At 34.1% G+C, this 14,876-nt stretch overlaps 1 protein-coding gene across 22 annotated transcripts in view; it reads right to left on the bottom strand.

Annotated features, from left to right (window-relative positions):
* The window catches only part of DPP10 (dipeptidyl peptidase like 10), a 1,403,140-nt gene that overhangs the window by 517,735 nt on the left and 870,529 nt on the right, over window positions 1-14,876 (bottom strand). The window contains exon 1 of one of the 22 annotated variants that reach the window (XM_047445207.1): window positions 11,490-11,510. The gene's annotated coding sequence lies outside the window, so the exon portion shown is untranslated. 22 annotated transcript variants of the gene reach the window in all.

Here is a 14,876-nt window from a genome sequence, read left to right as displayed (position 1 = left end):
TTGTGGACTTCAGGAAGACAGGGGTCACAGAAATCAAAACTGTATTCATAATAACACGAAGACATTATTGTCCTTGTCAATGGGTTGAAATTTTCACTTGTGATACAAAAGCAATGGTTGATAAAACTCCAGGCACCCTTTCATAAGTCGACACTGTGACATCAAACAATTGTCATTATATTCTTTATGGCCATATAGCCTCAATTTAAAAATAAACCCAGTTTCAGTTCAGAAGTAGTAAAAAATATTAATTGTACTACATCTTGACTCTCAACATCTTTTGAATATCTGTGTGGTGCAGTATGTCAAAAAATAAAATAACACCAGTGCATACGAAATATGATGGTTATCTCATGGAAAAGCATATGGTCAGTTGCTTGAGTTATGAGCTAAACTCACCACATTGTTTCTCATAGAACATTATTTTTACTGGAAGGAATGAGTAACAAACTACAATTATTCAGATTTAAGTGTCTGACAGGTGTTTTTCTTCAAAATGAAGTAAACTTTTTCTTCACAAAATCCACAATTGGCTGTATTTGTTACAAACAAAAAAATTCGAGCCCCTTCAAGCAAGAAAATGAATTTTAGAAAACTGATATTCTCCATCTTAAGTTTGATCATTTCTCAATAATTCTCTAGTGAGCTTTTCCTAGTGAAATCATTAGTGAAATTCATCATGATTTTTAACAACTGTACAATCACATGTCACTAAATGACAGGGATATGTTCTGAGGAATGTGCTATTAGGCAACTTCATGGTTGTGCAGACATCGTAGAATGTACTTACACAAACCCAGATGCTAAAGTCTACTGCATATCTATGCTATAAGATACAGCCTATTACTGCTAGGCTGCAAACCTGTACTGCCTGTTAGTGCACTGAAAATCACAGGCAATTGAAACATAATGGTAACTATTTGTGTATCTAAACATAGAAAATATATAGTTAAAAAACATTATAAATGATAAAAAGAATGGTACACCTGGATAGGGCACTTCAAGAATGGAGCTTGTAGGATTGGAAGTTACTCTGAGTGAGTCAGTAAGTGAGTGGTGAGTGAATATGAATGCCTAAGATATTACTGCACACTACTGTAGACTTTATAAGCACTGCACAGTCTACATTAAATGCATTAAAAAATTTTCTTTCTTTAGTAGTAGATTAACCTTAGCTTCCTGTAACTGCTTTACTTTATCAATGTTTTTCATCATTGACACTTTTCTAATAACACTTAGCTTAAAAACACATTTGACAACTGAACACAAATATTTTCCTTCTTTATGTCCTTATTGCATAACCTTTGTCTATTTTAATATTTTTATTTTTAAAAAACAAAGACATAAACACACACATATTAGCCTAGGCCTACACAGGGTCAGTATCATCAATATCACTGTCTTCCACCTTCATATCCTATTCCACTAGAAGGTCTTCAGGGTAAATAAGGTGCATGGGGCTAAAATCTCCTATGATAACCATGCCTTCTTCTGGAATACCTCCTGAAGAACATTCGTGAGGCTATTATACAGTTAACTTATGTTTTAATAGGTAGAAGGAATGCACTGTAAAATAATAAAAGTGTAGTATATTAAATACATAATCCAGTAATGTAGTAGTCTATTATCATTATTATTATGTACCATATGTAATTCTATGTGATATAATTTTACAGGACAGGCAACACAGTAGGTTTACTTATGCCAGCATCACCAAAAACACCAGAGTAATGAATCATGCTACTATGACCTTACTACGGTTGTGTCACTAGGGGATAAGAACTTTACAGCTGAATTACAATCAAATGGGACCACCAATATATATGAAGTCTGTCATTGACCTAAAAGCCATTATAATGTGCATGGCTGTATAATAAACTCCACTGACATTTGGAAGACCTGCATAACTCAATGAACTAATATTTTACAAATGACCAATTCATATTACAGAAGTAGACGTGGGTAAGAGTCTTTCAACATGTAAGATGGACCAATGGACTTTAATGTAGCAGAGTATTAAAATATTATTCAGATTTTACACTGCAATTAACCTTCAAGCATCTAGCACTTATCTAGTTTTCAGGAAGTAACAGCAAAAAACCTCTACAATGATCTGAAATAGCTATTAACATACATATTCTATTTCTGACTATGTGTCTTTATCAGGTCAGAATTTCTGCATATATCTCAACCAAAACAATGTATTGCAAAAGAATTAACAGAGGAGCACATATGAGAATTCTGCCATCTTCCTCTGAGTTAGACATTAAATACATTTGTAAAAATGTGAAACAATACCATTTATTTTGCTTTTTTTGTTTTGAAAAACATAACTTTTCATTTTGTTATTTATATTTATATGTAATTGTTTTATTATTGTCATCTTAAATAAATTAATACACATTTTATTTGAAATCTCAGAATTTATTTGCAATGTCTAATTTTACAAATGGTGATATATGCAATTCAAATGCCCCAAAGCATTTTTGGGTCCTCAATACTTTGTTAGAGTACACTACACTAAGTTCTACTGAACGTACTTTATTGTGTATTTTACAAGTTTATGTTTTTCCACATTTCAAACTGCCAGGGTTATAATAAATATTATTCAAGTCTCAAAAGATGTTGACTTTCTTTTCTATTTGGTAATATCATCAGCTTTAATAACCTTATTCTATTGTATTATTATTTATTACTTCATTATCAAGAACTTTCACTAAACAATTCTCTGACATTTTTATTGCAAGAGTGGATAACCAGATAAATTTGTCACTGGTCAATACAAGCATACTCATTTTATTGTGCTTTGCTCAATTACACTTTGCAGACATTGTTTTTTACAACTTGAAGGGTTGTGGTAGCCTGTTGTCAAGCAAGCCTATTGACACCATTTTTCTGATAGCATGCAGTCACTTCATGTCTCTGTGTCAAACTTCGGTAATTCTCACAATTTTTCATACTTTATTATTATTATATCTGTTACGGTGATCTGTGATCAGGGATCTTTGATGCCACTATTGTAGTTGTCTTGGGGAGCCATGAACCATGACCACATAAGAGCATAATGTTGTGCGTGTTCTAACCGTGACATCAACCAATTGATCCCCTGTCTCTCTCTCTCTCTTCAGGCCCCCTTATTCCCTAAGACATAACAATATTGAAATTAGGGCAACAGTAGCCTCTAAGTATTCCAGCGAAAGGAAGAGTCAAATGTCTGTCACTTTAAATCCAAAACTAAAAACAATTAAGCTTAGTGAAGAAGGCACATCAAAAGCTTAGGTAGGCTGAAAGCTAAGCCTCTTGCTCCCAACAGTTAGCCACAAAAAGTTCTTATGGGAAATTAAAAGTGCTAATCTATTGAACATACAAATGATAGAAAAACAAAACAGGCTTATTGTTGATATAAAGAAAGTTTTTGTGTTCTGGATAGAAGATCAAACTAGCCACACCTTTCCCTTAAGCCAAAGCCTAATCTAGAGTAAGGTCCTAACTCTCTTCAATTCTGTGAAGGCTGAGAGAGATGAGAAGGCTACAGAAGAAAACTTTGAAACTAAGAGAGATTGGTTCATGAGGTTTAAGGAAAGACCCTATTTCCATAATATCAAAGTGCAAGGTGAAGCAGCAAGTGCTCATGTAGAAACTACAGCCAGTTATCAAGAAGATGTAGCTAGGATCGTTGATGAAGGTGGCTATGCTAAACGAGAGATTTTCAATGTAGACAAAACAGCTTTTTATTGTAAGAAGATACTATCTAGAACTTTCCTTTTTTTGAGACGGAGTGTCGCTCTGTCACCCAGGCTGGAGTGTAATGGTGCGATCTCAGCTCACTGCAACCTCCACCTCCTGGGTTCAAGTGATTCTCCTGCCTCAGCCTCCCGAGTAGCTGGGACTATAGGCACGTGACACCCTGCCTGCCTAATTTTTGTATTTTTAGTAGAGATGGATTCTCATCGTGTTAGCCAGCATGGTCTTGATCTATCTAGGACTTTCATAGCTAGAGAGGAAAAGTCAATGCCTGGTTTCAAAGCTTCAAAGGAGAGGCTGACTCTCCTATTAGGGGCTAATGCAGCTGGTGACATTCTGTGGAAGCCAAGGCTCATTTACTATCCTCAGAACCCTAGGGCCCTTAAGAATCATGCTAAAGCTACTCAGCTTGTGCTTTATAAATGAAACAACAAAGCCTGGCTGACAACACTTGGATACAGCATGGTTTACTAAATATTTTAAATCCACTACTGAGACTTACTACTCATAAAAATATTCCTTTTAAAATATCACTGCTCATTGACAATACACCTGGTTACCCAAGAGCCCTGATGAAGATGTACATCAATATTAATGGTTGTTTTCATGCCTGCTAACACAACATCCATTCTGCAGCCTACGGATCAAGGAGTAATTTTGATTTTCCAATGTTGGTAATTAAGAATTACATTTGATAAGGCTGCCATAGATACTGATTCTTCTGAAGGGTCTGGGCAAAGTGAATTAAAAATCTTCTGGAAATAATTCACATTTCTAGATGCCATTAAGAACATTTGTGATTTATGTGAAAAGGTCAAAATATCAACATTAACAGGAGTTTGGAAGAAGCTGATTCCAATCAGTACTGATAACTTTGAGAGGTTCAAGACTTCAGTGCAGGAAATAACTGCAGATGTGGTAGGGGCAGCAAGAGAATTTGAATTAAAAGTGGAACATGAAGATGAAACTGAACTGCTGCAATCTCAAAATAAATCTTGAATGAACGAGGAGTTTTTTCTTATGGATGAAGTGAAAGGAGCAGTTTCTTGACATGGAATCTACTCCTAGCTAACATGCTGTAAACACTGTTGACGTGACAACAAAGGATTTCGAATATTACATAAACTTAGTTGATAAAGAAGTAGGATTTGAGAGAAGAAACTCCCATTTTGAAAGAAGGTCTATTGTGGAGAAAATGCTCTCAAACAGCAGTGCATGCTATGGATAAAATTTTGTGAAAGGAATTGCCAGTTAATGTGGCAAACTTTATTTCTCTCTTATTTTAAGAAACTGTCACAGCCACACCCACCTTCAGCAACCACTAGCTTGTTCAGTTAGCAGTCATCAACATCAAGGAAAGACCCTCTACTGACAAAAAGATTATGATTTGCAGAAGGCTCAGATCATCAAATAGAATTTTTTTAACAATAAAGCAGTTTTTATTTAAGGTCTGTTCATTTTTATAATACATAATGCGATTGCACACTTAATAAACTACAAATACGATAAACATAACTTTTACATGCAGTGGGAAACCAAAAAAAAATTGTATGATTTGCTTTATTGGAATAGTTGTTTAACTGCAGTGTTCTGAAACTAAACCTGCAATATTACAATGCATGCCTGCATTTATTGAGAACTTAGTTTGTAATAGAAACTATTATGAATCATATAATAAAGTAGAAAGCAGTGTAGGTGGTAAAGATATAAACCTTATGCTGGGCTTCAACTATAATAAGGAATCCAGGTTTATCACAATAAGAGAGGCAGGAAGTAAAGATTAAGGTAGAGTTGTAAATGGGCTGGCTAAGTGTTTAAGTGTGAAACACAGAGCTAACCTGAAAAGGTATTTTACCCTCTCTGTTTTTTATTTCTCCTAGCCTCCACACCCCACCATAGCCACATTTGCCTCCTAATATTCAAGAAAACATTTCTAAACCAAAATATTAAGGAAAACAGAATAATCAAACAGAAAACCCTAGCTAACCACAACCTAAAGAACAGAGACTTCAGAGAACATACATGGTGAATAATAGTGATTTTTCAAAAATAGTTTAAAATATTCTACCAAAGAAAACACAAATAGCTACAGCCTACAGCAAGAAACAAAAGCCCACCCAGAAAAGGAAGAAAAATTTGATTATAAGAGTTCCAAACTGTAATATTCAAGATGTACACTTTTCAATCAGAAATTGTAAAGCATCCAAAGAAATAAGAAAGTGAAGTCCATTCACAGATGTTAATAGAAACTGCTGCTGGGGAGGCACAGACATTTTACTCAATAGAGAATGACTTTAAATCAATTGTGTTAAATATGCTCACAGAGCTGAAGGAAATCATGAATAAAGAGCTAAAGGAAACCAGAATAACAATGTATGAAAAAAGTAGAAAATATCAATAAAGAGATAAAAAGTATTAAACACATACATGCACAGAAATTCTGGAGCTTAAAAGTCTAAGAACTTACATACAAACTCAGTAGAAGAATAAAACAGCAGATTTGAGCAGGCAGAAGAAAGAACCAGTGAAAATAATAATAGATCAATTAAAATTACTGGTACAGAAAGCAGAAAGAAAAAAGAGTGAAGGAAAATGAGCAAAGCCTAAGACACATTTAAAACATCATCAAACATAGCAACATAAAATAATGGAAATCACAAGAGGAGAGAGAGGAAAAGGGCAGAAAGAGTATTTAAACAAATGACGGCCAACAACTTGCCAAATTTGGCAAAGGACATAGAACTATATGTTCAAGAAGTTCAACAAACTCAAAAAAAAAAAAAAAACACTAAAAAAATGCATTCTGAGACACATTATAATAAAATACGCAGAAGATAAGAACAAAGATAGGATCCTGCAAGCAGCGAAAGAAAACCCTCTTGATATATATAAGGGATTCTCAATAAGTTTAACAGGAGATTTCTCAGCAATAAATATAGAGACAAGAAGAAGGTGGAACAACATTTTTAAAGAAAAGAGCTTCCTTTCTTTCTTTCTTTTGAGATGGGGTTTCACTCTTGTTGCCCAGGCTGGAGTGCAATGGCGCCACCTTAGCTCACTGCAGCCTCTGCCTCCTGGGTTCAAGTGATTCTCCTGCCTCAGGCTCCCAAGGAGCGGGGATTACAGGCTCCCACCACCAGACCCAGCTAATTTTTTGTATTTTTAGCAGAGACAGGGTTTTGCCATGTTGGCCAGGCTGGTCTCAAACTCCTGGCCTCAGGTGATCCTCCCACCTCAGCCTCCCAAAGTGCTGGGATTACAGGTGTGAACCACTGCTCCCAGCCAAGAACAGAGCTTTCAACCAAAAATTCTATATATAGCAAAATCGTCACTCAAATGAAGGAGAAACCAAGATATTCCCTGATAAACAAAAGCTGAGGAAAGCTGAGGGAGTTTGCAATAAGTAGAACTGCCCTCCAAAAATGTCAAAGGGAGGCTTCAGCATGAAGTGGAAAAATATAGGCAATAATTTGAAGCTATATGAAGAAACAAAAAACTCTAGTAATGATAACTCCCTAGGTAGATAGAAAAGGCAGTCTTATTGTATATTTGGCTTGTGACTCATCTTTATATTTCTTATATTAACATGATTTAAAAGAAAAATGTATAATAATAATTATAAATCTAGATTAATGGTCACACAATATATATAGATGTAATTTGTGACAAAAACAATATTGTAAGGGTGAAGCTGTATAAAAACAGTTTGTGTATGTGATTGAACATAAGATAAAATTAGTTCAAACTAAATTGTTCTAAATTTAAAATATGAATTATGATGACCAACATAACCATAAGAAAAAAAATTCGAGAGGAAATGAGAAGAGATCAAAGAAGGGCATTATAAAAATAAACACAAAAGAAAGCAGCATTGAAGGACTTAAAGAAAAAAAACACGTAAAAGGACAAACAGAAAACAAATGGAACAATGAAACAATTACTTCATTTTAAGAAATTAAATGTAAATAAATGTAATTCTCCATTCAAAAGGCTGAAAATGGCAGAATGGATTTTTAAAATTCACTTACTTGCTTTCTAAAGATGCAATGCATTGAGGGTAAATGATGGAAAAATATATTCTTTGCAAACTGTAATCAAGAAAGAGCAGAATTTGTTATCCTCATATCAGAAAAATTAGACTTTAAGTCAAAAATTGTTATGAGAAGAAGTGATACTATATATTGAAAAATGGTCATTAAAGAGACAAAATAATAAACATATATGTATCAAACAATACAGATACAAATTATATGCTATGGTTTGAATGATTATATTCCCCTTCCAAATTCATATTGAAATTTAATCCCCAAAGCAATAATACTGAGAAGTGTGAACTTTGAGAGGTAATTATTAGGGCCCTACCATTACGAATGAAATTAATACCCTTATAAAAGAGCTTAGGATTGAAGGGAAGGCTGTCTTTTCCTTCTGTTCCTTCTGCCATGTGAGAATGCAGTGTTCCTTCCCTCTGGAGAGTGCAGCAAAAAGGTATCATCTTGGAAGCAGAGAGCAGCCCTCTCCAGACACCAGTCCTGCTAGAACCTTGATCTTGGACTTTCTCCAGCTTGCAGAACTGTGAGAAATAATTTACTATTGTTTATATTACCCAGTCTGTGGTATTTTGCTATAGCAGCACAAATGAACTAAGACATTATATGATGTAAACAAGTTTCTAGAAAAACGCAAACTACCAAACTTATTCAAGAAGAAATAAAATGCCTGAACAGACCTATAATGAGTAAGTTACAAAATCATTAATCAAAAACCTTCCTAACAATAGAAAGGCTAGAACCAGATGACTTCACTTGTGAATTCTAACATTTAGAAGAATTAACACTCATCTTTCTCAAACTCCTCCCAAAACTGTACAAGAAAAGATTACTATCTCATTCTGTGAGGTTAAAAATTATTTTGATATGAAACCTAGACAAAGATAGCACAAGAAAAGAAACCAACAGATCAATATCTCTTATAAATACAGATGTAAAAATCCTTCAGGTATATTAGAAAACTGAGTTCTTCAGCATATGAAGAGGCTTATACATCATGAACAAGTGGGTTTTATTCCAGGAATATAAGAGTGGCTCAGCAAAAGAAAATCAATGTAATACAACATATAGTAGAAAAGGGAGGAAAACAAATGATCATCTCAATTTATTGATAAAATCTATTTGACAATATCCAACACTCCTTATAAAAATATTTTAAGAGCTAGAAATAAAAAGAATCTCCCTCAACAATGTAAAGAATCTTTATCTAAACAAGCTAAGACTACTCAATGAATAAAGACTGAAAGCTTTCCACCTATGATGGAATAAGACGAGAATATCCACTTTTACCATTGTTATCCAGCATTGTACTGGAAATTCTAGCCAGAGTAACTAGACAAGAAAAAGAACTAAAAGATGGTCAATTTGGACATGAAGAAGTAAAACTATCTCTGTTCACACATGACATGATCCTCATACATAGAAAATCTCAGATAATCTACAATAAGCTACTAAAGCTAATAGATGATTTCAACAAAGTTGAAGAGTACAAGGTCAACACTAAACAATCAGTCATGTTTCTGTATACCAACAATGATTAATCAGAAAAGAATATTAAGGTTCTATTTACAGTATCATAAAGAAGAATAAACTAAATAGAAATGAATTTAACCAAGTATGAAAAACTTTTACACTATAAACTACAAAATGTTGATTTTTGTTTTATTTAAATTATTTCCAGAATGAAAAGACATTCCATATTTATGAGTTGGAACACTAATATTTCTAAGATGGTAATATTACCTAAAGCAAATACAGACTCAATGCAATTACTATTAAAATCCCAACTGGCTTTCTTGCAGAAATAAAAAAGCTAATTCTCAAATTTATATGGAACTGTGATGGGCTCTTCATAGCAAAGCAATATATATATTTTTAAAGTGTAATAGTCACACTTCCAGATTTCAAACATTCCACAAAGGTGCAGTAATCCAAACAATGCAGTACCAGCATGAGGACAGATATAGAGATGAATGAAGTAAAATTATAAGCCCAGAAATAACTCATATATCTATAACCAAGGAAGGTTCACACAATAATAATTGGGAAAGAATGGTCTCTTCAATAAATGGTGCTGGGTGAAATGGTTATTCACATGCAAAAATTAAAGCTAGACTCCCTAACTCACACCATAAAAAAAATTAACTCAAAATGAATCAATGACCCATGTAGATAAACTAAAACCATAAACTCATTTAAAAAAAACAAAAGACAGATCTTTGTGACCTTGGATTCAGCAGTGTATTCTTAAATAAGACATCAGAAGCACAAGCAATGAAAGAACAGGTGAATGAAGAACTTTGTGCACCAAATGAAACTATTATGAAAGTAAAGAGACAACCTACATTATAGAAGAAAGTATATGAAAATATGTTTCTGACAAGAGATTAATATCCGGAATAAAGAACTCCTACAACTCACTATCAGTAAAACCAGCAAGTCCCTTAAAATGGGCAACAGGCTTAAATAGATCTATCTTTAAAGAAGATATATAAATGGCCAATAGACACATAAGAAGATACTCAGTCAACATAGTTAATTATTAGGGAAATGCAAATTAAAACCAAATGAGATACTACTTCATATCTCTTGAATGCCCATAATTGAAAAAAAAAAAAAAGAAAAGAACAAGTGTTTCTAAGAATTTGGAGAAACTGGAACACATGAATATTTCTGTTGGGAATGTAAGATGGTTCAGCTGCTGTGGCAAATAGTTCTTCAGACATTTAAACACAGAAATTACCATAGGATCTAGCAATTCCATTCCTAGGTATATAACCCCAAACACTAAAAACATGGACTCAAACAAATACACACAGGTTCACAGTAGCACAATCTCTGGAATATGCATACAATGGATTGCTATGAGCCATAAAAAGGGATGAAGCACTGTTACAAGTGACTTGGTGGATGAACTTCTAAAACATGCAAAGTGAAAGATGTTAGACACTAAAGGTCACATGTTATTTGATTCCATTTATGTGAAATATCTAGAAAAAGTAGATCTTCAGAGAACAGAAGTAGATTGGTGATTGCCAGGGGATGAGGGAGGTGGGATATGAGGAGCAACTGAGGTGGGATATGAGGAGCAACTGCTTAATGGGTAGAGTTTCCTTTTGGGGTGATGAATATGTTTTGGAACTAGATGGAAGACTGTTTTGGACAGAGTCATGCTCTCTTGCCCAGCTTGGAGTGCAGTGGCATGATCATGGCTCACTACAGCCTCAACTTCTCCGTCTCAAGCAATCCTCCTGCCTCCTGAGTAGCATGTGCCAACAAACCTGGCTAATTGTTTTAAAAAACTTTTAGTTGCGATGGGGTCTCACTATGTGGCCCAGGATGGTTTTGAATTCCTAGGCTCAAGTGATCCTCCTGCCTTGGCCTCCTCAAGTGCTGGGATTACAGGCATGAGCCACCAAACCCCACCATAACTCTCGCTTTTATGGAAACCTGACTTCTCAGAGACCAGACTATCTAATCATACATTAGAGGCCAGAATATCACATTTCTAAATCAAATTTCTATTAGGAAGAAGAAATAAAATATATGACAAACTATTAAAGTTGTATAATGACACACAATTTTATATAATGTGGTTTAGGATGGAAAATATGAACTTATATTTTATCATGGGTATTTGAAGTTCTGAAAAATTATGAAACCAGAAATAAAAATACATACAGAATTTACACTTACGATTTTCAACTTCCCACTTCTGTCACTGCCTCCCTTTCTGCCCCTTGTCCAAATTTTTACACCTCAATCCTCAGCTGAATTCTTTCTCTGCTATGCCTTCCCTTTTAGAAATACATAGAATTAGTTTACTAATTACAAAAATCATAGGAAAGAATAAAGGGGAAATTTATTTTTCTAAAATATTTTTTTGCCCCTATCATCCATGGGCACAAGAATATGTCTTAACTTATATTACAAGGATTATGACACATGTCAAAGCTAAAAGTGCCTGAGAGAGTGATCGAGCATCTCTGCCTTCTAGTTGTGTGAAATTAGTCAATTTACTTCAACTTGTAAGACTCAGATGAATACTCTAGAATGTAAATAAATGAATAGTATCTATGCAATATTAGTGATGTGAGAAAAAATAGTACATGTAAAGCACTTAGTACAACATCTGGCAAGAAAAAGATATACATAAATGTTTATAGGTTCTCTTCTGACTCTTGTAAAACTAAACACATTATAATGTAAACCAAATTCATCATTTATCTGACTGGACACTCTAACATTATGAGAGTAACTAAGGGAATCACATATGGCTTAAATATAGAAATGAAACTATAAAGGAAAGACAAAAAAGTAACTGTTTTTATTCCGTTAATGCCAGAGGAAATTATTTTTTATTCAACATCAGAGATAAATCTATTTAAAAAAGCAACAACAATCCATATTATCCAGGGGGAAACTGTTAGAATCTGTCATTGTTTTCTCTGCAGCCTGATTATGCCTGGGTAATGCTACATGGAAATCCATGTTCAATCTGTGCTGTTGTTGAAAAAAACAAGCAGAGACACATTAGACTATGCCTATCAATACAGCACATCTCCTGCTTTAATTCAACAAAATAAACAATTTGCATCTTGATTGATGCCGATGTTTACAAGTAGTACAAATCTAAAAATCTGGTAAAACATTATTTTCCCCTCATAATGCATAATGGGGATAGTTTAATCATTGCTTTGACATTTTAAAACACAGGTCAGGTGCTTAAATGACACCTAATAAATTACAGATGCCAAGATATTGTCTGCAATATAGTACAACATAACATTTTAACTAACTATAACCAGGAGCTGTCATTTTGTTAGAGCAAAATAGTAACTAGAATGAATTCACTTTGAGTTTTTGCATAACAATAACAGATCAGCTGTCATCAGTCCAATAAAGTCCTTAATTTTATTAAATGCTTTCTAGGAAATGAGTTTTACATATAGATGTATGTGTGTGTGTGTGTGTGTATGTGTGTGTGTGCATGTGTGTGTGTGCAGGCATATGAATATTTTTAAAGCCCTCTTTCAAAGGGTCAAATCTTTTTTTTTTAATCTGTTGTCTTAACAATAGGAACAGAGAGGATTCTTTACCTCAACATCATATTTGTGGGCACATAGTAAGGCTAGGAGATGAATCCAAGTCAGTCGAATACCAAGGTCAATTTAGTCACTCTATCTACTATACTTTCTCCACAAACTAGCTGCTGAAGTCATCCAAATCTATTGGCCCTAGCTGTGTTATGTAGAAAACTGCTCTACTTCCTTTAAACTGGTGTGTTATGAGGGTTAAATGAGTTGATTGTGTGCACTGTACATTTAGGTTGATGTAAAAAAGGCATAATACCTTAAATGCTGTCTTCTAGTTTTTGGTTTCTTTTGTTGATTTTTCTGAATAGGGCTGCCTATGTTTCTCTAGTTTCCTTCACTTGCTTAATTCTCTGTTTTGACTCAAATGAACTAATTGAGCATAGCTTCATGGATGTAACACATATCTGATATTAAAGACTTATCTAATCATCAACATCACTGTGGCAGTATCGACCTGGGTAAGTTATTACCCAACATGGCCTATGAAATTAGTTTAAAATTCTTAATCTTAGAGACACTTCTAGAAGTGAAAATAAAGACATCTCTATTGCGGAACTGAAAAATTACCATTAAATTCTTGTTTAACTGAGATCAAGCAGAGCTCTCATGATTCCCACATCAATGCTTGGTTATGTTTATATTCTGATAAACCTGCAAAGACCATCTACTGTGCACACCTAAAAAGTGTACTAAAGGAATGAATCCCACTATTGTAACAGAGGGTAATTGGGAAGTTTCCAAAAGAAACAGGAGCTAGAGCTAACAATGAAGACCACATTTTGGTGCTTTCCCGTTTTACCCTTAGTCAGCATGACAGATAATCAGTGTGATGACTCTGTCTCGGCATTGACCGATTACAGACACAGTCAAAGGGCAACAGGCCATTGTTGCTGAAGAACTGTGGAGTATACACAGTTCGCAGGTGGCTATTTCAGTATGGCAGATGGATTAAAGAGCCTGATGACTATCCTGTATCAACTGCATTCTGACTCATAAAATATGCACCTTTGTTCTTAAAACAGGCCAAAATTGGTAATTCTATTCTGCACAAAATGTTCTCCCAAGTATATTCCTTCTCATTCTACATATTAAATGTAAAAACAAGATTGCAAAGTAGATGCATACCTTTACTAGACTGATTTCTACAACTTTAAGCATTAATGTACACTCATATATTTGTAGAGTATAATTATTGATCTTATAGTTAACATATTCTCAAAATAAACGTGGGTAAACTCCTTCTCTTTAAACAAACTCAATAGAAAAAATAATGTAGGCTTCATCAATGCATCTGAATAAGTCCACCCTGTAATTAAAAAAATGGAATGAATAATTTGTTCCTTTCAGAAATACTTATAAAATGAAATGCTTGAATAGCCTATTCTTCAAAAATAGTTAGGACTTCTCTTCACAAGGCAAGGAAGAGTCTGATAATTTTAGAAATTAAGGCACATGTGTCAAACTACTTCTGTAATAAAATTTGCAATCAAACCGAAATTACAGTGAACATGTGTTTCTCTGGTTATAGGCTTGCATTCCTTAGACTTACCTGCAAATTGTGTGCTATTTTGAGTAAAACAGTTTCTAAAACATTTCTTTGACTAAATAACTTTTTGTATGCTTTCATCTTCAAAACCAACCCACTAAATATATTTTCATGGTAGAAAAATCTTAGTGAAAGAGCCCACCATATTTCATCTGTTGCTATATTTGTCACTAAACAAGGCATTATTATCATTGGTAGCTGTTATTAATATATTAGATAATAGACATTAGAGTTATAATACACTTCAAGAGATCACCTCACATTTTAGCAAACCAAAGATGTCCTTTTCTTCAATGAAACACTGAAGCCATAGAAGTTAGTGACTAGCCCAGGGTTGTATAATTATAAAAGCTATATGAATTTATGACTGCCACTCTTTTTTATTTTTTGAGACAGAGTCTCGTTCTGTCACCAGGCTGAAGTGCAGTGGTGCGATCTGGG

Source organism: Homo sapiens, chromosome 2 (genome assembly GCF_000001405.40).
Source record: "Homo sapiens chromosome 2, GRCh38.p14 Primary Assembly".
NCBI classification, from domain to species: domain Eukaryota; kingdom Metazoa; phylum Chordata; class Mammalia; order Primates; family Hominidae; genus Homo; species Homo sapiens.
Note: the sequence above shows the minus strand (reverse complement) of the source record. Positions and strands in the feature narration are given on the sequence as shown.